Source organism: Homo sapiens, chromosome 6 (genome assembly GCF_000001405.40).
Source record: "Homo sapiens chromosome 6, GRCh38.p14 Primary Assembly".
In the NCBI taxonomy this organism is placed as follows: domain Eukaryota; kingdom Metazoa; phylum Chordata; class Mammalia; order Primates; family Hominidae; genus Homo; species Homo sapiens.
Genome location: NC_000006.12, coordinates 29,601,313 through 29,626,746, shown reverse-complemented (window position 1 = coordinate 29,626,746; position 25,434 = coordinate 29,601,313). Strand labels below are relative to the sequence as shown.

At 47.1% G+C, this 25,434-nt stretch overlaps 1 protein-coding gene across 12 annotated transcripts in view, besides 3 other annotated features; it reads left to right on the top strand.

Moving 5' to 3' along the window:
* The window catches only part of GABBR1 (gamma-aminobutyric acid type B receptor subunit 1), a 30,946-nt gene extending 6,437 nt beyond the window's left edge, over positions 1 to 24,509 (top strand). For 9 of the 12 annotated variants that reach the window (NM_021904.4, NM_001319053.2, NM_001470.4 and 6 more), the window contains 17 exons: positions 2,723 to 2,857; positions 3,272 to 3,442; positions 4,542 to 4,643; positions 4,930 to 4,995; positions 5,455 to 5,646; positions 13,262 to 13,504; positions 14,133 to 14,196; positions 15,746 to 15,823; positions 17,368 to 17,518; positions 18,014 to 18,146; positions 19,529 to 19,645; positions 19,743 to 19,850; positions 20,263 to 20,356; positions 21,051 to 21,178; positions 21,759 to 21,887; positions 22,110 to 22,253; positions 23,031 to 24,509. In NM_021904.4, the coding sequence (NP_068704.2) occupies positions 2,723 to 2,857; positions 3,272 to 3,442; positions 4,542 to 4,643; positions 4,930 to 4,995; positions 5,455 to 5,646; positions 13,262 to 13,504; positions 14,133 to 14,196; positions 15,746 to 15,823; positions 17,368 to 17,518; positions 18,014 to 18,146; positions 19,529 to 19,645; positions 19,743 to 19,850; positions 20,263 to 20,356; positions 21,051 to 21,178; positions 21,759 to 21,887; positions 22,110 to 22,253; positions 23,031 to 23,204 (2,229 nt within the window). In that variant the 3' untranslated portion in view covers positions 23,205 to 24,509. Of the gene's footprint in view, positions 1 to 2,722; positions 2,858 to 3,271; positions 3,443 to 4,541; positions 4,644 to 4,929; positions 4,996 to 5,454; positions 5,647 to 13,261; positions 13,505 to 14,132; positions 14,197 to 15,745; positions 15,824 to 17,367; positions 17,519 to 18,013; positions 18,147 to 18,244; positions 19,646 to 19,742; positions 19,851 to 20,262; positions 20,357 to 21,050; positions 21,179 to 21,758; positions 21,888 to 22,109; positions 22,254 to 23,030 lie in introns of those variants that run through there. The other 3 variants (XM_011514455.2, XM_047418592.1, XM_047418593.1) reach the window with 3 other exon arrangements.
* Positions 1,790 to 2,375: an enhancer, noted in NCBI's record as "NANOG-H3K27ac hESC enhancer chr6:29592149-29592734 (GRCh37/hg19 assembly coordinates)". NCBI's record gives its function as "activates a minimal SCP1, AML or CMV promoter by ChIP-STARR-seq in primed H9 embryonic stem cells {active_cell/tissue: H9 hESC(primed)}" and the evidence as "EXISTENCE:reporter gene assay evidence [ECO:0000049][PMID:30033119]".
* Positions 3,968 to 4,517: an enhancer, noted in NCBI's record as "H3K27ac hESC enhancer chr6:29590007-29590556 (GRCh37/hg19 assembly coordinates)". NCBI's record gives its function as "activates a minimal SCP1, AML or CMV promoter by ChIP-STARR-seq in naive H9 embryonic stem cells {active_cell/tissue: H9 hESC(naive)}" and the evidence as "EXISTENCE:reporter gene assay evidence [ECO:0000049][PMID:30033119]".
* Positions 4,518 to 5,068: an enhancer, noted in NCBI's record as "H3K27ac hESC enhancer chr6:29589456-29590006 (GRCh37/hg19 assembly coordinates)". NCBI's record gives its function as "activates a minimal SCP1, AML or CMV promoter by ChIP-STARR-seq in naive H9 embryonic stem cells {active_cell/tissue: H9 hESC(naive)}" and the evidence as "EXISTENCE:reporter gene assay evidence [ECO:0000049][PMID:30033119]".

Sequence of the window (25,434 nt, the reverse complement as noted above, 5' to 3'; positions counted from 1 at the left end):
ACAGAAAAGAATGGCAGTGGGGGAGAGGGGCAAGGAGGTAGCGTGGGGATAATGAGAGATCTTGGGGCACCTTATGGAACTTGGGTCCTGACCTTCCCTTCCCTTATAGCATTGTGGCCTCTAGGATGTGAGAAGGGAAATGGGATGTAGGGATTAGGGAGGTGAGTTGAGGGAGAGAGAGAAGGTAAGCAAATTTGGGTCCAGGGGTATTAGGGGATAGCTTATAATGAGGTTTTTTTTCCCACCCCTCTCCCCTACATGAATAATTGGGGGTGCAGGGAAGGATGTGACACAGGGAAGGAGATTTAAGATCTCAAATTTATCTTCACTGACATGTGGCCCCAGAGACTTAAGGAATTGGGTTAGGGTGAAATAGAGTACACAAGGTGAGAATTTGGTGATCTTACCAAATATCAACCTTGGGGTGATCCAAGGATTTATATTCATTTTTAGAACATCACTATACACCTAGAAATAGGTGTGTGTCTGGGATAGGTGTGTGAGGGGACAGAAGTGAGGTTGAAGGTAGGGTGCTTGAAGAGAAGAGAGCACAAGGATTATCAGGAGCTTGGCAAGAGAACTTAAAATCCTTTTTGACTGTTACTTTCTCGTGGTTCTCAGCCTTCAGTGTACATAAGAATCACCAGAGGAGTTTGTTAAAAATACAGATTCTAGCTCCTTGGTCAGGGATGAATCCCAAGTATTTATCTGTATTTTTACTAATAGACATCCTATCTTGGTGGATTCCTGAGCTGTAAGCTAACCCCAGAATGCCTATGGGAAGAGCAGCAGGGTACAGGAAAATAATTAGGTATTAGGGTACGGGAGGCAGGAAGAGAAGTAGAGGATCAGATCTGGTAGAGGGTCAGACTTGGGACAGTCAGAGAGATCATTGGTTTTGGGGAGTGGAGTGTGAAGAAAATGACAGGGAGAGATGGGTGCAGGCTTTATGATAGGGGATCACAGGAGATAGGGGAGGCCTGGCTGTGAGCTCAAACTCATCCACCATGACAGGTGATTCCCTGGAGGTGGCGGGGAGCAGACGTGGGACCTGGGAGAAGGGAACTGGAGAACATCAGAGGCATCAAGCGGGGTGGGATGGGAAGGCAGAAGAACCAGAATGTGTCAATTGGAATGAGTCGGTTTCCTGCCTGCAAATCCAGATCCTTGCAAGAGCAAAGAGAGGGAGGAGAACTAAGGAAATCTATTGGGGAGGGGGAGAGAATCACGTGGTGGAGAGAATCTGCAGTGATGAATAGTGTGTGGAAGAGGGAAACGGTTGCAAGAAAAGGTAGATAAGAAATCAGGAAACAAAATGGGGGGCATGCCTTGCCCTGTTGATATGTATCTTATATGTTCTTGTATGTCCTCATTGTTCCTATTAACCCTGTCTTTAGAGAAGTGGAGGGGCACTGAGGGGCTGTGGGAGAAGCTGGGAGCAGGATCTGGAGTAATAGATGTGGGGAGAGTGCAGGAAGGTGGGTCCTGAGAATGGTAAAGATTTACAAAGTTGCCCTAGTGGGAGGCATAAAGAGAAAACCTTCCAATGTTGTTGAGCACTGCCCTTGGCCAGAGTGAGGGTAGGGTGGGCAACAGAGAATTCTCAGTGACTGCTGGTTCTTCAGATTCCAACAGCTTCCCCTGGCTCCCCCTTCTCCAACTTCCCACCGTGTCCCAAATGTCAGGCCTCAGTGGGAGGTAAGCAGGCTCCAGAGTGCTTTCTTTATTTCCTTTCTACTTATCCTCCCCTCCTGGCAACATTTCACCCTCCTTAGTCCCCTGAGCCCCCTGTCTGTGTCCCCTCTGCCCTGGCTCCCCACTGGCTGCCATTTCGTCTTCACATGCATTGGGGTTCCAGCAGCTTCTGAAATGTCATATATCAGTGGGAGGGGAACAGGCAGTGGGAGACCCAAGGCTGGCTCTTCCTCCCCCATTTCCCCTCCTCCCAAGCTTCCTTTCTTCTCCAGCTTTCTGCTTGTTTACTTTCCCTAGCTCCAAGCCTCTCTTTAAGGCACCTCTCAAATTGTCTGGTTTCTTGAGAGTTCCATTCTATTCATTCTCTCTGTTCTTTCCTCATCCTACATTCTTCCCTACTTCCACCCCCCAGTGTCTTTTTTTCTAATGGACCTGTCAAATGTCAGCGCCCAGCAGGAGGGATGGATCACTGAGCGGGACCCCCTACTGGTCTTGTTCCTGTTCTCTCTTTACTTATCACTAGCTCTGAAAAGAGAAGAGGGAGGAAACAAATGGAAGGTGGGGAGAAGGGGTTTGCAGAGGTGAGGAAGGAATTTTCATAATATGGCTTTGAGCAAGCTATCTGGGGATGTGGAAAGAGTTTACCGTATTCCTACTGACTTCTTCCACCCACTGGTGTTTGAAGCATAGAAACATGGGGTAAAGGGCTTGGTGACAGAGGGAAGGGGGATGTCTGAGGGTGAGCTGAAAGGAGGTAAGGTGGTATGTTCATTAATACCAAAGGAGGGGTGTGCAGGAGAGGTGATGGGTAAGGCTCCAGATGGAAGACAGAGAAGGAAGTTTAATGAAAGAGGAGAAAAAAGGCACTTGACAGGAAGAGATGCCAGAAAGGAGAAGAAAACGGTAATTAATGATGAAAGTGAGTAATTGAGAAAGGAACTAATTTGTTCGAGAAAGATAAGAGCAGGAATTGCAGACAGGGGAGGGGCCCCAGGAGAGCTTGCCCTCATCTCCTCTTGTCTTTCAGTGTGATCCAGGCCAAGCCACCAAGTACCTATATGAGCTGCTCTACAACGACCCTATCAAGATCATCCTTATGCCTGGCTGCAGCTCTGTCTCCACGCTGGTGGCTGAGGCTGCTAGGATGTGGAACCTCATTGTGGTAAGCAGGGCTATGGGGGTCAGAAGATGGGGTCATTCCCTTTTGAGCTCTACTGAAGGGACGATGGCGATTGTGGGTTTGTATTGAAAAGGAGTGTGGAGGACCTGCTACTAAGATTCAGAGTCCTCTGCAGACCTGAGCTAGGCAGCCTCCTAGCAACAGTGGCCTGACAGTGCTGCAGCTGACCTCCTTCTTCAGAAGGAATTGAAATTAGATCAGTGAAAGAGCATCCCGGTTGTGAGGGGTGTGTGGGCCTTTGAGAATCTCTTTTCCTTAGGCAGACCAGAGGTGGGGAGGTTTGGAGAGAGTAAGGAAGAGAAACCCAAAGGCAGGAAGAGGGTTAAAGGAACTCTTGGCCACTCTTGGTGTCCTCAGTGAACAGACCCTGTTGCACTCACTCTCCCTGCCCCACAGCTTTCCTATGGCTCCAGCTCACCAGCCCTGTCAAACCGGCAGCGTTTCCCCACTTTCTTCCGAACGCACCCATCAGCCACACTCCACAACCCTACCCGCGTGAAACTCTTTGAAAAGTGGGGCTGGAAGAAGATTGCTACCATCCAGCAGACCACTGAGGTCTTCACTTCGGTGAGGAGGGGTTGGGCAAGGGGTAAAGGGACATAAGCTCAAATTCCAGCACCAGGAGATGTGACGTGAGAGTCACTTTTAGGGGCAAGAACTTGATTCTTCATTGAAAGAGAACGCATTCCATGTGGATTAAGTGCAGTTCTTTCTGTAGCCAGGGGAAAGAATGAGTTGAGTTTTTGGGATCCTCTCTGTCTTTATGATTTTATGATTTTTTTCCCCTGTTTGATGCCCTGTTCCCCAGACATATAGACCCAGAATGACTCAGTTCTGTTAAAGTAGGTTCAATCCAAAGTGGGGGCAAGAGATGGGAGCGAAGATGAGATAGGAATCCAGGAAGGCAGCAGATTCCAGAGGCTTTCAAGGGGGGTGGTGGGTGGGTGTGAATGGGAACAGAGGGGATGGAGCCAGTGGATTACAGAGGAGAGAGGGAGAGGAAAGAGAGAGAGAGAGAGGAATGAGGGAGAGGAGAGAGAGGGGCAGAAAGGCAGCTGCATGGATCTGGTAGTTGGTACTAAGAGAGAGAAGCCGACAGACAAGGAGAGGTTGAGGGGGAAGAGGGAGATTTGGGGAGGTAGAGAGGAAATACAGGCTCTACATCTGAAGAAGGCAGTCTGCTCCCTCCCTTTTATTCTATTCTTTGGGTCTTCTATCCACTGTGTTCAGTGGCCCTTTAATCCTCCCCCACTTTCACTCTGATTCAGACCATTCTTCTCTGATCCTTTGTCTGTCTGCCCATTTGCCTCTTGAGGTTGACATCATGCTGTCTGTCCCAGTCCTTGCCTTGTCTTTTCCTGGTTCCTTTATGTTTCTTTACCCCATCTTTGCCTTCAGTGGTAGGAGTGGGTGAATGGAGTGGCTTCCCCCACACAGAGCCTCAGCAGGGGCTCACCATTCACCTTCCCACTTGGAATCCACATCCTAAGACCAGATGCCTTCCCGAACTCCTCACTTCAGGGACAGAAGCTGTTGAAGGAAGGTTCAGAATGGCTGCTTCTTTGCTCTATCTGAGTATTGCTCTGAAATCCCCAGTTAACCTCTCTGGTCTTTATTCCCTCATGCACCCCGTGTTTTTCCAACTTGTTTTTTATTCCCACCCAAGACTCTGGACGACCTGGAGGAACGAGTGAAGGAGGCTGGAATTGAGATTACTTTCCGCCAGAGTTTCTTCTCAGATCCAGCTGTGCCCGTCAAAAACCTGAAGGTCAGATGGCTGGGAGTGGTGGGCTCTGTTTACGGAGGGACCAAGCTGGGGGACAGTGACTGGTTGGAGAGGAAAGCCAGGCGGGGGCAGGTTTTGATTCTCTGAGGCAATAGCATCTCCTGGGGAAGTTTAGCTCCATCTTCCAGTTGACGTTTATTCACTATACGTTGAGCGTTACCCTGCACTAAGCACTTTGGGATGGGAAATCAAAGCTGTGAAGACATCTGGCTTAGCCCCTCAGGCATTCCCGGGCATCCCTCAGGAGCTGTTTCTTTCTCTGTTGTAGCGCCAGGATGCCCGAATCATCGTGGGACTTTTCTATGAGACTGAAGCCCGGAAAGTTTTTTGTGAGGTGGAGTTGGATCTGAAGAGGGAGGGGCACTGGGTGGGAGTTTCCCTTGGTTTTCTTGTGGGGCCTCCTCTTGGCATCTGTGCCTGAGTTGATAGCATATGATCTGAGGTGACGATTCATAGGATGTCTCTGTCTGTTGGCTCTGACTGCATCCCTTGTCTGCACACACATGATACTTTCTTCAGATCTCATTTTTCTACTGCTTTGTGTTTCCTGAGAAGCCCATGAATTCCATCTGTCCTGACTGGCTGGAAAAGGCCACTCAGAAATACAGGGGCTGGGGAGAAACTTAGAAGGAAGAATTGTCAGCCTTTCCTACTATCCCCAAGACTTGTAGATTTCTCTTTTTAGTTCTACTGCTCTTCCCTGATTCCCAAGAGGCTAAATAGTATCAAGTGAGATAAGACAAAAACAAACAAATGAGCAAACAAAAACTCAGCCATTCTCCTCTGTATTCAGGTGTACAAGGAGCGTCTCTTTGGGAAGAAGTACGTCTGGTTCCTCATTGGGTGGTATGCTGACAATTGGTTCAAGATCTACGACCCTTCTATCAACTGCACAGTGGATGAGATGACTGAGGCGGTGGAGGGCCACATCACAACTGAGATTGTCATGCTGAATCCTGCCAATACCCGCAGCATTTCCAACATGGTGAGAGTGTGGGGACTTGCAGTCTGGCACCTGGGAGGGTGGAGAGGACTGAGGGGGCCTTGCAGGGGAAAGGGTGGCAGGGAGAGGGTGCGGAATTTGGATATAAAGGAGAAGAGGGGGCTGTGCCCACCCTGAACTTGTCTGCATTATGTTTCCTGTGGATCCTACCTTTGCTCTGACTTCCTTGGGTAGAGAGAGAAAAAAAAAAAAACGATGGAGTTGTATGTTCAGTAGGTTCCTGATGAGTGGAAGGGCTGTTACCATGGAGACGAGGAGCAGTTGGTGAGAAGTCAGGAGGAACCGGCATTAATGATAATATGGATGCTTGTATACTCAAGCACACCTTTACAGGAGCACTGTGTCTGGGCAGAATTGCATTTCATTTTCTTGGTGATTTATGTTAGTGTTTTAGAGTTGCTTAATATTCACTCATGATTGATATGCAATTAGCTTGGATCCTGTTGCTTTTTTTAATGATTCTTTTTTTAGAATTTTATGTGGAGAAGGGGCTTTTGAAATCATTTAGCCCCAGACAGCTGGTTAATGACAGACTTGGAGCGAGGAGGCGCATTCTCTGATTTGAGAGGGCTGGGGCAGCCCTGCAGCTGAGGGGCAGAAGTGAGTGTGGGTGTGGGCACAGGGGAAGAGGCTTCTTTGTTGCTCAGCACTACATTGTAAAGAGTACAGGAATTTTGGGTAAGCTCGATACGGCCACCTATGTGTCTGCTTATTACACCAAGTGTGTACCTGCTTTGGAGAGCATGTTAGGGGTGAGTTAATGGTTGTAAAGCCCCAAAATAGCTTGATTTAAAAAGTTTTACTAACAGTGGCATTTGTGTGGTACTTAGATTCATGATTTCAGGGATTCTAACAGCAAAACTCTGATGTGGACTTATCTACATTTTGTAGACCAGGAAAATGAGACTCAGAGTGGTTTAATGACTTGTCTCAGGTCATGCAGCTACTCAGCAGTCCAGCTGGAATTGAATCCTAGTTAAATCTGGCTCCAAACTGCTCTGCTCATCACTTCCCATGGAAAACCATGAAGCCTGACTAAAAAGTTTGTACTTTTATCTGCTAACACTGTTTAGCTACTGGCAATTGCTGAGCAAAGGAGAAATAAGATTTAGGAAGTTGACTCTGGTGGTGTGTTGTGATGAAAGATCTGCTGCCACATGGACTCTGATGATACACACTGTTTTGGGACATTCTAAATGGACTCTATGTTTTAAGGTATGTTAGTTGAAAAATACAATGAAAAAATTTTGGAAGATCACTTTCCTGTAGAGTACCCAAGAGGTGAGTCATCCATAAAACCTGGGAAAGTATTGGAACTGGCTACCAAAGCCAGAAAGACTTGTTGGTGCCCTGAGCCCAGGACTTGCCAATCGTTGCTTCTGTCTTATAGCAGGGAGCTAGAGGAGGCTGACAGAAAACAGGGATTTGGCTGGATCTAGTGGCTCACACCTGTAGTCCCCAGCACCTTGGGAGGCCAAGGCAGAGGATCACTGGAGCCCAGGAGTTCAAGACCAGCCTGGGCAATATAGTGAGACCCCCAGCTCTAAACAAAAAGAGAGAGAGAGAGAACAGAGAGATGGTTAGGGACATAGAGGGACACCTGAGCATTGGGGTGGGAAGACTTGGAAGGTCCCTTTCTGACTTTGTGTCTAGAGAAAGATGGTTCCTGCTTTTGAGGCCATAGGGCTTCCAGTGGGACCAGCCTAAAATGCCAGTGGGGAAGCCAATGTTTTCTGAAGAGGATAGAGCAGTCTTAACAATAGGTTAGGGGCAAAAGAGATTATAGATTAATCAAACAGCACAAATAGAAGTGGATCAAAGCAAGGGTTGGACCTAGGGGGCCGGAGCCATGGAGACTTAGAAAAGAAGCAGAGTTGCTTTTATTCCCTAAGGATGGCCTTATGTTTAGATCAATAGTTCTCAAACTTTAACATCCGTCAGAACCACCTGGAAAGGTAGTTAGTTCACAGGTTATCAGGCCCTTCCCCTGGAAATTCTGATTCAGTAGATCTGGGCTAGGGCCTGAGAACTGACATTTCTAGCAAGTCCCTGGGGATGCAGATGTACTGGTCTGGGGATCACACCTCGAGAACTATTAGTTAGGGTAGTGGTTTTCAACTACTACCCTAGACTCAGACGCTATACTATCTGGAGGCATTTTTGGTTGTTACAGTTGGGGGTAGGGGATGGGGAGGGATACATGCTCCTGATATCTAATGTGTAGAAGCCAAAGATGATTCTAAATATCCTACAAAGCACAGCCCCTGGCAACAAAGAATTATCTTGCTCAAAATGTTAATAGTGCAGAGAATGAGAAACCCTAGTTTAGAGAAAACATCTTTAGGGGCAATATGTGGAAATGGAGAGTGGGTTAGAGTGGTTTTAGAGAAATGTAGCTGTGGGCTAGAGGGGAATGTGGGAGGTGGCATCCTGGAGATAAGATTGTGAGGAAATCTTGATTGGGGTAGAGATCCCATCAGACCTAGGACCAGTACAAACTAAAAAGCTACCTCAAGATATACATTTTAGCCCACTGTCAAGCATCCATTCTTGAGAGCCAGACAAGGCTGTTAAAAAAATTAGGTATAAATTTGCACTTGGTTGATTAACTAATTGCTGTGGGTTGAGGGGTCTTTATTGTTCAGATTTCCTTAAGCTGCAGAGTAGAGTGTCTCTTTGACAATCTATAACTGTATCTTTACTGACTCAAGGGGGAAGCATTCTACTCTTCTTTACTCTTGGGGTGGCAGGAGCAGTGGTGCCCCCAGTGGTTAGGCGTGTTAGTGGTAGTGACCTGGCGTGAGCACAGGGTCTGACCACCTGAGCAGGGGACCGCATCGTGCTGAGCAGATTAATCCCTTTCTTTCTGGGTGATTTTTTTGATGCCATATTTACCTTGAACTGAAGATTGGATAGACCAATCTTTCAATTTGAAGCCAAAAGACTACTCAAAGTATTAGCCTAGCTGCTATTTGTGCAGGTGCTCTTAGAGAGAGGCAGTCTCATGTACAGAGACTGTGTAGGGTGGCTGGTAAGAGTATGGATTAGCTCTGCTACTCATTAATAGTATAACTTTTTTATAGGCAAGTTATATAACTTTTCTGTGCCTCAGTTTTCTTATCTCTAAAATGGGGATAATAACACCTCATTGGATTGTTTGAGGATTAAATAAGGTAATATAGTTTCCTCAGGAAAATGCTCGATACGTCCTAAGGACTGTATACATGTTAGCCACCATCATCGTTATCATTATCATCATCATCCTGTGTAAGGAGGGATCGATATCAATGAAACATTTCAACAAAAGAGTTAAGAGGACTCAGTGATTTGAAAGGGTCTGATGTAATTCCAAGGCTTCAGTCTCATTTACTGGGAGCTGTTTGGGAGTAAGAAAAAATTGAGCTTCATCTTGGATATTTTGATTTTGAGATTATTCATCATACATTAAAAATGCCTCAGAGTCAGTTAGAAATATGGACTTGAGGCTGGGCGCGGTGGCTCACGCCTATAATCCCAGCACTTTGGGAGGCTGAGGCAGGTGGATCACAAGGCCAGGAGTTCAAGACCAGCCTGGCTAACATGGTGAAACCCCGTCTCTGCTAAAAATACACAAATCAGCTGGGTGTGGTGTCGTGTGCCTGTAATCCCAGCTACTTGGGAGGCTGAGACACAAGAATCGCTTGAACCCAGGAGGCAGAGGTTGCAGTGAGCCAAGATCGCACTACTGCACTCCAGCCTGGCAACAGAGCAAGACTCCATCTCAAAAAAAAAAAAAAAAAAAGAAAGAAAGAAAGAAAAGAAATATGGACTTGAAATATTGGGCTGAAATTATAGATCTGAGTATCAATAACAAAGATGAGGTTGAGAGTCAAGGAAATTCACGTAGAGAAAATGTAACTTACTTCATACCCAGCATTTTTATACATGTTCTAATTTCATTTCATACTATTTTAGATAGTATTATTCTCATTTTAAAGCTGAATAACCAACTAGTGAGGTTTAATAACTTGTTTGAGATTTCATAGCAGGTAAAATGATTAGAATATGAATTCATCCATTTATCTATCCAACAGACTTTTTTTTTTTTTTTTTTTTTTTTAGTAGAGACGGGGTTTCACCGTGTTAGCCAGGATGGTCTCGATCTCCTGACCTCGTGATCCGCCCGCCTCGGCCTCCCAAAATGCTGGGATTACAGGCGTGAGCCACCGCGCCCAGCCTTTTTTTTTTTTTTTTTTTGAGGTAGAGTATCCCTCTGCTGCCCAGGCAGGAGTGCAGTGGTACAATCGCTGCAGCCTTGACCTCCTGGGCTCAAGTCATCCACCCACCTCAGCCCCTCCCAAGTAAGCTGGGATCACAGACATATGCCACCAAGTCTGGCTAACTTTTTTTTTTTTTCTCGAGATAGAGTCTTGCTCTGTTGCCTAGGCTGGAGCACAATGGTGTGATCTCGGCTCACTGCAACCTCTGCCTCCTGGGTTCCAGTGATTCTCCTGCCTCAGCCTTCTGAATAGCTGGGATTACAGGTGCGTGCCACCATGCCCAGATAAGTTTTTGTATTTTTAGTGGACATGGGGTTTCACCATGTTGGTCAGGTTGGTCTCGAACACCTAACCTCATGATTCACCCTCCTCAGCCTCCTGAAGTGCTGGGATTACAGGCGTGAGCCACTGCTCCAAGCCAAGTCCGGCTAATTTTTTTTTTTTCTGAGATGGAGTCTTGCTCTGTTGCCCAGGCTGGAGTGCAATGGCATGATCTTGGCTCACTGCAACCTCCGCCTCCTGGGTTCAAGCGATTCTCCGATTCTCCTGCCTCAGCCTCCTGAGTAGCTGGGATTACGGGAGCCCACCATCACACCCAGCTAATTTTTGTATTTTTTTTTTTGAGACAGAGTTTCATTCTTATTGCCCAGGCTTGAGTGCAATGGCGCGATCTTGGCTCACAGCAACCTCCGCCTCCCAGGTTCAAGCCATTCTCCTGCCTCAGCCTCCGGAGTAGCTGGGATTACAGGCATGCGCCACCACACCCGGCTAATTTTGTATTTTTAGTAGAGACAGGGTTTCTCCATGTTGCTCAGGCTGGTCTCGAACTCCGGACCTCAGGTGATCCACCCGCCTCAGCCTCCCAAAGTGCTGGGATTACAGGCGTGAGCCACCGTGCCCAGCTAATTTTTGTATTTTTCATAGAGACAGGGTTTCACCATGTTGGCCAGGCTGGTCTTGAACTCCTGACCTCATGATCTGCCCGCCTTGACCTCCCAAAGTCCTGAGATTACAGATGTGAGCCTCCGTGCCCAGGCCAAGTCTGGCTAATTTTTAAAAAAATTTTGTAGAGTTGGGTCCTCTCTGTTTTGCCCAGTCTTGTCTCAAACTCCTGGGCTCAAGGAATCCTCCTGCGTTGGCCTCTGAAAATGAAAATGTTGGGATTACAGGCGTGAGCCCCCTGTGCCTGGCTGCCTTTTTTTTTTTTTTTTTTTAAAGGCAGAGTCTCACTCCATCGCCCAGGCTGAAGTGCAGTGGCGTGATCTCTGCTCACTGCAACCTCTGCCTCTTGAGTTCAAGCGATTCTTCTACCTCAGCTTCCCAAGTAGCTGGGATTACGGGAGCCCACCAACACACCCAGCTAATTTTTGTATTTTTAGTAGAGACGGGTTTCACCAGGTTGGCCAGGCTGTCTGGAATTCCTGACCTCAGGTGATCCACCCTCCTTGGCCTCCCAAAGAGCTGGGATTACAAGTGTGAGCCACTGTGCCCAGCCTGACTTGTTTTTTATAATGCCTTTTTTTTTTTTTTTTGAGACGGAGTCTTGCTCTGTCGCCCAGGCTGGAGTGTAGTGGCGTCATCTCAGCTCACTGTAACCTCCACCTCCTGGGTTGAAGTGATTTTCTCACCTCAGCCCTCAGCCTCCTGAGTAGTTGGGACTGCAAGTGCACACCACCATGCCCAGCTAATTTTTTGTATTTTAGTAGAGATGGGGTTTCACCATGTTGCCCAGCTGGTCTTTAACTCCTGAGCTCAGGCAGTCTGCTTACCTTGGCCTCCCAAAGTGCTAGGATTAAAGGTGTGAGCCACTGTGCCTGGCCTTTTTTTTTTTTTTTTTTTTTTGAGCAGTTTTAGTTTCCCAGCAGAATTGAGATGAAGGTACAGAAACTTCCCATATGCTTCCCACATGCATAGCCTTCTACATTATCGACATCCTCCGCCAGAGTGGTACATTTGTTACAACTGATGAACCTACATTGATACATCATAATCACCCAAAGTCCATAGTTTACATTAGAGTTCACCCTTGGTGTTATATATTCTATGGGTTTGGACAAATGTATAATGAGACGTATCTACTATTAAATACTTTACAGAGTATTTTCACTGGCCTAATCCAATGGACATTTATTGTTACTTCATTATGGTTGGGCACAGTGCTAGATGCTGATGATTAAGAGAGGGCATGGGATTTGGTCTTGTCCTCAAGGGTAGAACCTAGGCCCATTGCATCTTCAAAGCCCAGGCTCCTTCAAAGCCCAGTGTAGTAGCAACTGCTGTACCTTGCCTGTGCCCTTTGCGTATCTCACTCCTCTATCTCTCTAGAAAGTTGGAGAGAAAAGTGAGCAAGGCATGAGGAACAAAGTTATTTATTTATTCTTCATTCATCTATTTATTCTTTCATTACCGTTTGTGTTAAAACATTCCAAACCCAAACAATTATTTGTATGGTCCCCTGTGTATTACTTGTGGTTTCCCAAGAAGTAGTTGCTAAGCTTTTCCTTGTATGGTTTCTGTGAGGTAAGGAAGGAATGATGTGATTTTCTCCAGTATGTAGAATGCAGTTCCAAGAGGTTAAGTAATTTACTTACAGTTATTTAGCCAAACAAGGTTACTGCAAGGTATATGAAGTCAGGTCTCTTGACCCAGTTCATGAGAGAGTTAAAGGAACTATCATTCTTTTTAGCTTTCATGGAAAAAGAAGGTTGAGTGTTGGGAGGGGTGTGGGTAGGATTGATAATGGACTTCAAAAATGTGAAGGGTATTTCTGTAGTTTTCATTCTTCTGAAAGCCTTCTAAGAGGCAGTGAACCAAAAGCACACAAGAATGGCAAGAAGTTAGCATGCTGAAGAAATATCCTCCTGGCTGGCAAGCAGAGTGAGAAGACTGCTATCACCTTTTCTAGAATCTTTTGGAATTGTAGGAGCTGTTAGATCCTGGGTTAACTCTATGAAGAAAGTCAGAAGGATCAGAGAACATCAGTGTCACAGCTCTTCATTGGAATATCCATGTCTCCTCCTTTACTCTGCTCTACCTTCCATCCTTTGCCACTAATTATCCAGAGTGTTTGTCAAAATTCTCTGTTTGCAGTTCTGAGCTAGCAACTGTACACACTAACACCATCAGACACAGCTAATACCTACTCTAGTCTAGTAGCTTCCGATCTAAGGCAGACACATGGGTATAGTTAAAGATTTTGAATGTACATGTGTCCAATCTGACAACAGTAACACAAACCATCCATTCAAGTAGAAGTGATTGAGTCAGAATTGGATTGCACCCCTTCCCCCACACCCACACACATTTCAGTTCTTTCCTCATGATTTTTTCCTCCCAAGACATCCCAGGAATTTGTGGAGAAACTAACCAAGCGACTGAAAAGACACCCTGAGGAGACAGGAGGCTTCCAGGAGGCACCGCTGGCCTATGATGCCATCTGGGCCTTGGCACTGGCCCTGAACAAGACATCTGGAGGAGGCGGCCGTTCTGGTGTGCGCCTGGAGGACTTCAACTACAACAACCAGACCATTACCGACCAAATCTACCGGGCAATGAACTCTTCGTCCTTTGAGGGTGTCTCTGTGAGTTAAAACTTCCTTCATACTCCCCTGTCTTCCCAATCTTGAGAGAGACTCCCAAGAGGCACCTTCTACAAACATGCATTCTCTGTTTTTCTCAGTTACTTCTTTGCAGAATCAGTCTCCGACCAGAGAAGTAGGGACCTTCAAATTAGAAGAACCCATCAAAGACTAGAGGAAAAAAAATGATGTATTCCATTTTTTTAAACCCCTCCCCTCATTTCTTTTCAAACTAGACCAAGTATTCATGAGTCAGATGAGAACTATAGGATTTTGAAAGACAAAACAGTCTGAAAGGTCATCTTCTTATTCCTTTTAAAATGAAAAGATTAGTTTCCAGAGAGATTTGCTGACTTGCTTAGGCCACACAACCAGAAGCCTGCTGGTGTTCTGTCTGGGGATTTTTTCCCATTCAAATCTCATAAGTGAAGCTCCTTCTCCAAAGAATAATGTTTCTAAAATCTAGGGTATGGGCATCTGGGGTATGTCCTATATGCAGGCAAATGCCATAAATAGCATTCATTCAGAGGCTCAATTACATCAAAAACAGAAGGATTTAAAGAGTCCCTGATGTTCTCTTTCACTCTTGCTTTTGTCTCCTTTGCCTTGCTCCACATGTTCCTTCCCTCAGGGCCATGTGGTGTTTGATGCCAGCGGCTCTCGGATGGCATGGACGCTTATCGAGCAGCTTCAGGGTTAGTACAGGGGCAGGAGGGGACCGGACATGGGGGCTAGGCTGGGGCTGGGCTGGGATGCCCCCTGGGGAAGAATGCCAGAGACATCACAAGATTGCCCTGGCACCTCCCAACTTCTGCCCTTCTCTTTTAACTCTGTTCATCAAGCTTGTAAATAATAATAATAATAAGCTTAACTACAAGAAGATTGATGTCTTTGAGTTGCACTGGTTTTGCTCTTGAAAAGAGGTGTGCAGGCTGGGTGTGGTGGCTCACCCCTGTAATCCCAGCACTTTTGGGAGGCCAAGGCAGGCAGATCATGATCATGGTCAGGAGTTTGAGACCAGCCAGACCAACATGGTGAAACCTGTCTCTACCAAAAATACAAAAAAAAAAAAAAAAATTAGCTGGGTGTGGTGGCAGGTGCCTGTAGTCCCAGCTACTTGGGAGGCTGAGGCAGGAGAATCACTTGAACCCAGGAGGCAGAGGTTGCAGTGAGCTGAGATCACGCCACTGCACTCCAGCCTGGGTGATAGAGTAAGACTCTGTCTCAAAGAAAAAAGAAAAGAAAAGAGACATGCAAATTAAAAACAGCTACTCTCTTTCCCAGTGGCTTCCATTAATTTCAGGAATTTCCCCTTGAGTGGCTTGGGTTGAGAGGTTGATGACCTGTCAGTTAGACTCAAGAAAGCTGAATCTAGGAGAACCGCTATTTTTTTTTTAAGGGAATCTGCCAAATTTCCTTGCTGTGTAAAGCTTCAATGTGTATAGCTTGGCTTTTGTAGATTGTATTTTCTTGAAACTTAGCACACAGGTATTTGCAGAACTTCTAGGAGTTAATTTTTCTGCTCCACTCGGCTCTCAGTCTTTTACGGCATGGCCAAGAGAGCTATTTCTTGGCCTCCTGTGAAAAGTTTCTTTCTTCCTTTCTCCCCACCTCCACATCCTTTCAGCTCCTCTTTGTATCCAGGACAAGAGGAAATGGACTTCAGCCATGGTGAAAGGAGTGTGAGTTGGCTTTTGAAGGAAAAGTTATGGTAACGGAAACAGTTCTAGAACAGAAATCTTAGAAATGACCAAATTTTACTCAATGGCGCTTTAAGAGGCAGATATAACTTATCCAAGGAATTAAAACCCAAGCCAACAGAAGAGAATGTTCTAAAATTAAAATGAAAGCCACTGGGAAAATAGAGCCTGCCCATCATGAGAGGAAGAATAAGCAGAAATATGTGTAAAGCTTTAGAAGCCAAAATCAAAGTGAGAGACATCTCGCCGAGAGAGGTGTGAGGAATGGAATAGGTGGCAGACATGTTGTGGAGCCTCCTCACTGAAGACTTTTAAACATAGATATTCTTATTTATTTGAGTTGTCTTGGGAACCACCTTATATTGCTTTTAAGTCATGTTGCTGATTCAAGAGTCTCGTAGGTCCTTCCAAGCATCCTTAGGGCCTCAGGTGAAAATAAAATCAGATACAACCATGCAAAGCTCTAGGGAAGTGGGAAGTTGAAAATGCCTAGGATCAGCTCTTTGGCTACCTGTGGTCACTCCTTTTATTGTCGTCTGCCCAGGTGGCAGCTACAAGAAGATTGGCTACTATGACAGCACCAAGGATGATCTTTCCTGGTCCAAAACAGATAAATGGATTGGTGAGTGGATCTTGTTTGTATTTTCCTTCAGCCCCTCTCGACAGTCAAGGGAAAAAGTCATGCCTTTGAGTGAGGATGGAATGGTAGAGACTGTTAGGTTGGAATGTGGCTGGCAGCTGGGCCAGGAGAAAGGGTTAAGTGAGAGTGAATACAACCCCTAAGGCGTGGGTAGGGGAGACTGGTGTATTTGGAGAGGGAATAGGCGGTGGTTAGTACTATTTTTAATGGTGCATTGCTGGGGTAACTGGGGATTAGAGGCAGGGGGTGGGCAGAGGGCGGGAAATGGAAACTCCATTTGGGTTTCCCAGATGTCCTGGTGTCTTGATATATTTGAACCAGCTACTTCAAGCCCAGAGCTGTCTCTTTGTCTGTCTCTGTCAGGAAAACGGTTGCTTAAACTATGGAGGAGGAGGGAAAACCTCATGTAATTGTCATCTGCCAAAATGTGCTTTTTATTTTTATATGTATTTTTAAAAATTTTCCTATTTTTATGTAATTTAGAGGTAGACGTGCAGTTGTGTTACATGAATATATTGCATAGTGGTGAAGTCCGGGCGTTTAGTGTGCCTGTCACCCGAACAGTGCACCTTGTACCTAATAGGTAGTATTACATCCCTCAAAATATACTTTTTAAAGAGAGAAAGCAAGCAGTTATTCTTTGTGTACTTGGTCTAAATGATAGGACATAGGAGAGAAACTGAAGGTGGACAAAAGGAAGGACCTACTGATAAAAGAAAGCCTCCTTGAGAATGAAGGGGAGGCTCAACCATTGAAGATGGCTGCCGTCTGCCCTGCCCAGCAGATATCCAGTCATTCCCAGCACTGCTGGAGTTTTGCCCTTTTTTTTTTTTTTTTACAATTCGAATTTAGGACAATGTTCTGGATTGCTATAAATGCTGCATGGCCTAAATTATTCTTTAAAAAAAAAACTAAGCAAATTGAAATTAGTTTTTTTTGGTGAACTCTGACAAATTTGAACTTCCCCCTAATAATAACTGGAAAACATATTTGGGAATATTACCCTGCCAGGATTAAAATTTCAGATTAGCTTTCCTTCTTTTTTTGTTTGTCTTAAGAATAGGTGTCCACACTAGATACTTCAAGGCCTTTTTAGCTTTATGATTCCATAATTGTCATTTAAAACTTTGATTTGGGTTATAAGAAACCTTATAACATTTTTTAATGATCCCCTTCTTTCTCCTCCCATTTTCCTTTGCTGTAAGAAAGACAGAAAAACTTAAAGAACAAACAAAAACAAAGACTACAACTTTGGGGACATGCCTCAGCATTTCCCAACCTATGGATAGACCATTCACTCCATCTTCTCATCTCATTTCTGGTTGCTTCCTAACGGCCCCAGTGGCACTGAGCATTCTGCCTGCAGTAACCTCTGTCCAGTGCAGTTAGGGCCTCATGTCCCCAGCCAATGACTGAATGTCCATCAGCAATCTAGTTCTTTGCCCTTTTCTCCTATCCCGTCTTCATTCCTTTGTCCTCCTTCCCTTCTCTTTTCCCTTCCCCTCTTCCTCCCCTGTGCCATGCAGGAGGGTCCCCCCCAGCTGACCAGACCCTGGTCATCAAGACATTCCGCTTCCTGTCACAGAAACTCTTTATCTCCGTCTCAGTTCTCTCCAGCCTGGGCATTGTCCTAGCTGTTGTCTGTCTGTCCTTTAACATCTACAACTCACATGTCCGGTAAGTTTCTCTTCTGACGTTTTCCTTGTCTGCCTCTCTGAGATACTGATCATGTTCCTGGACAGGATGAGAATAAAACCTGTGTAACTCCCATGGCCATGTATCATGGAGTTTTTCATTCTGACTTGTTGAGAATGAAAACAGGGAAACCAGATATAACCCCCACTCCTACTCCAAAGTAGCTAACGGGAGGAAAAAAGAAAAGAAGAGAAAAAAACAACCTTTGGGGCCAGGTCTCACAGTCTTGGACTCTACATAAATAGCCTGTATTCTAGTGGGGGCCTGTGCTTGGGAAGCCCTCTGCAACTCCATCTTCAGCCCCATGACTGCATTGCTCTGCCTCTCAAGGCTCCACTGTCTTCTCCAATCCTGTCTTCCTTTAGCCCCTGGCCCTGAAATTAGGGTCATGCCATTGCGTGGTATTTGGAGAGCTCAGCCTCCCTGGAGAAGAGGGGTAATTCTCTCTCCCTCTCACCCTCTCCACCTCTGCCCTAGTTATATCCAGAACTCACAGCCCAACCTGAACAACCTGACTGCTGTGGGCTGCTCACTGGCTTTAGCTGCTGTCTTCCCCCTGGGGCTCGATGGTTACCACATTGGGAGGAACCAGTTTCCTTTCGTCTGCCAGGTGAGGAGGTGGTGGGCAAATTCCTTACAGGATGTGACTCTCCCACCCGTCTCAGGAGCACCTTCCATGATTTATGATTCTCTGCCCTTCCTCCTCAGCTTTCCCTGACTCTTGTCCCTGTTCTTTCCTTCTAGCATCACCCCTCTGTTCTCTGTTTGGCTCTGTCCCTTCTTTCTGTGTCTGCAGGCCATTTTCATTCTGTAGTTTACTTGTCAGTTCCAAGGTTGCCATGGCAGGCCTTGCAGAGAAGAGGAGGGAGCCATTGAAGGCAAAGGAAGGGGATCTGCTCAAAGGTCTCCTGAACAATGGTGGCTTGTCTGTGGTATGGGGGCTGAGAATCAGAACTGTGGACTTTTTTTGGGAGCCTTTGTTGGGTTTGGAAGGATAGAAGCAGAGATGGAAACACAGCAGAGAGTTGGGGGGAAGGGACCACTGCCACACAGGGAGGAGGGGCTCTGGGACTGTTGGTACATGGAAGGTTCTAGTGCTGTGGGGAGAGGCCAGCTTCAACAGTGATAGTTGAGTGGTTCTCTTTTCCACTGGTGGAAACACCCACTCTTTCTCCTGATCTGCCTGCCTGTCCTTGCTCTCTCTTTTTCCTCTGCTCTGTGCTGTCCTGATCATACATCTGTGCACATGGCATTTCCATGCACATGCACATGCAGTTCATCAGGAATCCTCTGTTCCCAGTGAGGCCAGAGTGCAGCTGGAGAAGCAGACAATTAGCTGTAGTGCAATAGGAGAGGTTCCAGAGTAGGGATCTGCACAAAGTGCTTTGGGGGCAAAGAAGGGAACACAGTTCACTGCTGGCGTGATTGGGTGGACCTCACTGAAGAGGTGGCATTTGAATACTGAAGGACAAATAGGATTTTATCAGCTAGAGAAATAGAGGAAGGCTACTTCAGGGGCATAGGGAGCATCGTGTGGCTAGAAAATACATGAAAGAGAGTAGATGAAGAGAAAGTGAGTAGTTCAGCATGGCTGGAGCGTGGGGTAGGTGTGGGGCTGGGAGATGAGCCTAGCTGGACAGGTGGATGGGAGCATGTTGTGAAGGGTCTGTGTCATATCCAGAAGTGTTCAGGCTATAACTTATAGATATTGGGGAGTGGTTGGAGGTTTTTGGCCACTAAAGCCAGGAGGTTTTAGCAAGATCACCCTGGTGGTGTGGAAGTAGAGGGTGGATGGGAGGAATTGTTCAAGGTGGGGAGACTGCTCTCCTCCTGCCGCTCCCCGTCCTGCTCACATTTTCGCATCCTCCCTGTGCCACCATGAGCTCCCTGCCCGTGCTCCCTGCCCACTCTCCCTTAGGGTTCTGCCCATCCTTACTGCAGTCCCGGCTACTACTCTACCCTGTTCTGCCTGTGCCCTCTCTTCCTTTCTAGGCCCGCCTCTGGCTCCTGGGCCTGGGCTTTAGTCTGGGCTACGGTTCCATGTTCACCAAGATTTGGTGGGTCCACACGGTCTTCACAAAGAAGGAAGAAAAGAAGGAGTGGAGGAAGGTGAGCTGCTGCCCAATCCTCAGCCCCCAGATCCTTGGCTCCTGGGGCACAGAGCATTTTCCCCTGACGTGCCTGTTCTCCCCACATATTTATCCAGACTCTGGAACCCTGGAAGCTGTATGCCACAGTGGGCCTGCTGGTGGGCATGGATGTCCTCACTCTCGCCATCTGGCAGATCGTGGACCCTCTGCACCGGACCATTGAGGTACCACTGGAGAGGAGGTGCTATGGTCAGGAGAATGAGCAGGGCTCAGTGGCCATCAGGGCCCTGGGGCTGTGTGTGTCTTGAGGGATGAAGCTACTTGGAGAGAGTGCCTTCCTCGTATTGGAAGCTCTTCCTTTCCTTCCTAGAAGGAGCCCCTCATAGGCCTCCAGATTCAGCTGAAGAAAGGAAGGGGTGGGAATCTGGGAAGGGTGTGTAGAACTTCCAGGCATCAGGGAAAGTGGGGAACAAGCACCTCCAAGGGTTCAGGAAAACATTCTTAGGCCTAGAATGAGATTTGGCATCAGCATTGAGGGTCTCATAGGAAAACAGTTGGAAGCCAGAGACTGAGAAGCGTTGAGGAGAGGAGGGGAGGCTGGCAACCATCTTTCTTGTGACCTTGTTTCTGCCCTAGACATTTGCCAAGGAGGAACCTAAGGAAGATATTGACGTCTCTATTCTGCCCCAGCTGGAGCATTGCAGCTCCAGGAAGATGAATACATGGCTTGGTGTGTGGGATGTGGGCAAAGGAGGGCAGGGATGCACAAAGGCAGGAGGGAAGGCAGGGGTAGAGGGCTTGGAGGGAGAGGGGTCTTTGGAAGAGGAGGTAGAGAGCTTGTCAACCCAGTTTGAACACCCTACTCTTTGTTATTGCACTAATCTTTTCTGAGAATAGGGGAGAGTTGCTCTTTTGCTATGAGGAGCTTAGGGCCCAAAGCACAGAAAGCACAGATGAAGAACTTGTGTTCAGCAGAGGAACAAGTGGGGGTAACCCCACCTCCAGACTTGACATTATCTTTTAGATCCCCCTTGGCCTTATTAGCATTGTTCGATTCATGGTCACAAATTGCAAACCTACCCTCTGCCTGGAAAGCCACCTTCCCACCTGTAGGGTAAGGGTGAGGCATGTGTGGCCCAGACTGGCCTATTTCTAGATATTCAACAAGCCCTTGCCTGACTGACAGCAGCTTGCCACCATTGCTTTCCTGTGTGAATCCCAGGAAAAAGTGATGTGGTCTGGGCAAGTTGGGTGGACATAAGGGATAGGGGACACAGGGTGAGGTTTGCTAGGTCAGAGGGGTTGGATTGGAGAGGAGGGCCCCCTTTCCATTTCAGAGTAGGTGAAGGGCAGAGAGGGGATGGGGATTGAGTGAGGAGCATTGTGGTCCTTGTTGCTCAAGTGACTCTCTCCTGCCATCCTAGGCATTTTCTATGGTTACAAGGGGCTGCTGCTGCTGCTGGGAATCTTCCTTGCTTATGAGACCAAGAGTGTGTCCACTGAGAAGATCAATGATCACCGGGCTGTGGGCATGGCTATCTACAATGTGGCAGTGAGCACTGACCCCATGGCATTGACCCTGTAGGCTGACCACAGCAGCCCAGATATAGAGGACTAGGAAGAATCAATGCTAGATCTGGGATCGGTTGCTTAGAAGTCTTAAAAAGTTTGTTAATTCTTCAGGTCTATAAAGCACTTTACAGTTTACAAAGCTCACTACAGACATTGTATCATTAATCTTGCAACTACCCAGTGAAGTAGATATTAGTATCCCCACTTTATAGGTGAGGAAACAGAAACACAGAGACGTTAAATTGCTTGTCTGTGGTTAATGGGCTGGACTCTATTGACATTTCCTGCCAGGGACCGACTCTGGAGGACCCGGAATCTGTGCATAGAGATCCTGGGAGTTCCTGCCTTGAGGGGAGGGGTTAACCAAGAGTGAAAACTGGTTTGGGACAGTTTGAGATTTTTCTCAATCTATATTTGAGGATGATCCTGAATTTGGATCCTTTTCAAAGGGAAAGTTCACCAGGAAACTGTCTGCATAGACTCCCTCCCATGGGAAGTAAACTCTGGATCTTGTCTGAGCCTGCAGACCTGAGACTCCCTCAATGTGTCTTTCCCTCTAGGTCCTGTGCCTCATCACTGCTCCTGTCACCATGATTCTGTCCAGCCAGCAGGATGCAGCCTTTGCCTTTGCCTCTCTTGCCATAGTTTTCTCCTCCTATATCACTCTTGTTGTGCTCTTTGTGCCCAAGGTAAGGATCTGGCTTTTCTCCCACCCTCTTTGTTCCCATGTTCCCTCCATCCCTCCTTCCTATATTACTGAGTTCCTCTGCCCTTCCGTTCACCCTCCTCTCACTCCTCCCCTTGTTTTGGGCCCAACTCTTATCAGCATTCCTTCCACCTCCAACCTTCCATCAGCCAGTCACTAGTACAGTCCTTGCTGGGCCACCCCACGCCCAAACATTTGCCCCCAGATGCGCAGGCTGATCACCCGAGGGGAATGGCAGTCGGAGGCGCAGGACACCATGAAGACAGGGTCATCGACCAACAACAACGAGGAGGAGAAGTCCCGGCTGTTGGAGAAGGAGAACCGTGAACTGGAAAAGATCATTGCTGAGGTGCGGGGGTGGGTGTCAGGGTAGGGTGTTGGAGTGGTCCAGGAGGCTTGCGTCTTAGCTTGGGTTGTCTGAAGCCAAGCCTGAGATACAGGGTCAGATGTTCTTGGCTCATGGAGGGAGGGTCCTAGGAGACAACCTGTAAGGAGTGAATGGAGCAGCATAGGGGAGGGGAAAGGGCTGAGCAAGATTCTATCTCAGGCAAAATCCAGTGTTGGCCTGGCAGGTGGAAGGGCTCTGGAGTGGGAGCTATGTGGTTGACTCAGCCTCCTTAAGGCAAGAGGATGGCTGTTGGCTGTAGGTGACAACTGGAGAGAGGCAGCTGTGAGCCTCTAGTAGTCAACACTCACAGCAGCTGGGTGTAGCATGCAGCCCCAGCATAAAGGACCTGGGCAGGCGTTCACTGTGCCCCAGGCTGTCATTAGGGGCTGGTGCAATGCCAAAGAGAGGGATGTTCCAACTGGGTTGACACATCTCTCTGATTTATTGGAAGCTCTGTGCACTGACTTTTCTCTCCTTCCCCACTTTTTCCTTTTGTTTTTAAATTCTCTCTTATTTCCCTGATCGCATTTTTTCTATCGGTATCCTTATGTTCTCTGGCTTTTCTTGTTCTGTTTTGATTTCTCCTTTTAATTTATTCTGTCCACTTACCCTACGTCCTCCCCCTACATTTTTCTGTGCCCTTCCTCTCTTTCCCTGTGCCCTTCCTCTCTTTCCCTCCTCCCCACTCCTTCATCACCTCCTCTTCTCCTACTATCCCAATTGTGCTTCTTCCTCCAGAAAGAGGAGCGTGTCTCTGAACTGCGCCATCAACTCCAGTCTCGGCAGCAGCTCCGCTCCCGGCGCCACCCACCGACACCCCCAGAACCCTCTGGGGGCCTGCCCAGGGGACCCCCTGAGCCCCCCGACCGGCTTAGCTGTGATGGGAGTCGAGTGCATTTGCTTTATAAGTGAGGGTAGGGTGAGGGAGGACAGGCCAGTAGGGGGAGGGAAAGGGAGAGGGGAAGGGCAGGGGACTCAGGAAGCAGGGGGTCCCCATCCCCAGCTGGGAAGAACATGCTATCCAATCTCATCTCTTGTAAATACATGTCCCCCTGTGAGTTCTGGGCTGATTTGGGTCTCTCATACCTCTGGGAAACAGACCTTTTTCTCTCTTACTGCTTCATGTAATTTTGTATCACCTCTTCACAATTTAGTTCGTACCTGGCTTGAAGCTGCTCACTGCTCACACGCTGCCTCCTCAGCAGCCTCACTGCATCTTTCTCTTCCCATGCAACACCCTCTTCTAGTTACCACGGCAACCCCTGCAGCTCCTCTGCCTTTGTGCTCTGTTCCTGTCCAGCAGGGGTCTCCCAACAAGTGCTCTTTCCACCCCAAAGGGGCCTCTCCTTTTCTCCACTGTCATAATCTCTTTCCATCTTACTTGCCCTTCTATACTTTCTCACATGTGGCTCCCCCTGAATTTTGCTTCCTTTGGGAGCTCATTCTTTTCGCCAAGGCTCACATGCTCCTTGCCTCTGCTCTGTGCACTCACGCTCAGCACACATGCATCCTCCCCTCTCCTGCGTGTGCCCACTGAACATGCTCATGTGTACACACGCTTTTCCCGTATGCTTTCTTCATGTTCAGTCACATGTGCTCTCGGGTGCCCTGCATTCACAGCTACGTGTGCCCCTCTCATGGTCATGGGTCTGCCCTTGAGCGTGTTTGGGTAGGCATGTGCAATTTGTCTAGCATGCTGAGTCATGTCTTTCCTATTTGCACACGTCCATGTTTATCCATGTACTTTCCCTGTGTACCCTCCATGTACCTTGTGTACTTTCTTCCCTTAAATCATGGTATTCTTCTGACAGAGCCATATGTACCCTACCCTGCACATTGTTATGCACTTTTCCCCAATTCATGTTTGGTGGGGCCATCCACACCCTCTCCTTGTCACAGAATCTCCATTTCTGCTCAGATTCCCCCCATCTCCATTGCATTCATGTACTACCCTCAGTCTACACTCACAATCATCTTCTCCCAAGACTGCTCCCTTTTGTTTTGTGTTTTTTTGAGGGGAATTAAGGAAAAATAAGTGGGGGCAGGTTTGGAGAGCTGCTTCCAGTGGATAGTTGATGAGAATCCTGACCAAAGGAAGGCACCCTTGACTGTTGGGATAGACAGATGGACCTATGGGGTGGGAGGTGGTGTCCCTTTCACACTGTGGTGTCTCTTGGGGAAGGATCTCCCCGAATCTCAATAAACCAGTGAACAGTGTGACTCGGCACCTTGCAGTCTTCCTGTGAACAGAATGGGCTTCAATCCAAGAAGGGAGGTTCAGAGGACTCCAAGTTCATGAAAAGGCATTAAAGCGGAGGGTGAAAAGAGGTGTTTTATTGATCCATTGAGGGCTTAGCAGAATGAAGCAGGACATGATTAAGTCTGAGATTAGTGAGTGAGGACACTACTGGTTAAAAGTGTGGGCTCTGGAGTCAGACTGCCAGGGTATCAGATCCAACCACATGCAAACATTTTCTTAGTCTCTATTCCCCATGTCCTCATTTATGAAAATGAGAATAACAGTAATACATTCCTCCATAGGTTGGGTACAAAGACTATTATAAATTGTGCATTCAGGTGCCTAGGTTGGCCCTTGGGCCATGGTATATGTTGCGTGAATGTTAGCCTCTGTCCCTGCTGTTTAATGAGTTCCTTGACAGTAGTGGGCATGTATTGGGAGCCTGGAGCAAGTGCCTAAGCATCCCCTCTAGGGACGCTCCTTCCCAGGAACTAAGAAGAGTAAAAGAATGATGACTGCTAGAAGGTAATGGATGAGATGGCTGCTGAGTGCTTCCAACCTTAAACATCTTTGTTTAGGAACTCTGAGCATCTTGGAAATAATTTGCTATCAAACTGAAAAAAAATCTTGAATGGACAAGGGCAAAAACATTTGCCTGAGACTTTAAACATTTTTTGTGTCATCTTGGAGAGTGCTTTTTTGAAGCTCAAATTTTCTTTTATTTTGGCACTGATTTTTAAAGTGATTCTCAGATTTTTGTAAGACAGCTGCAAGGGTTGGATGGGCCCTGTCATTCACTGACCTGTTAAGAGCCAATTTCTGAACTTCCACTAAAGCATGGGCTGGTTGAATCTTAGACCAGTACTTGAAAAACTTTCCACTGTGATTATCCACCTTGGACCA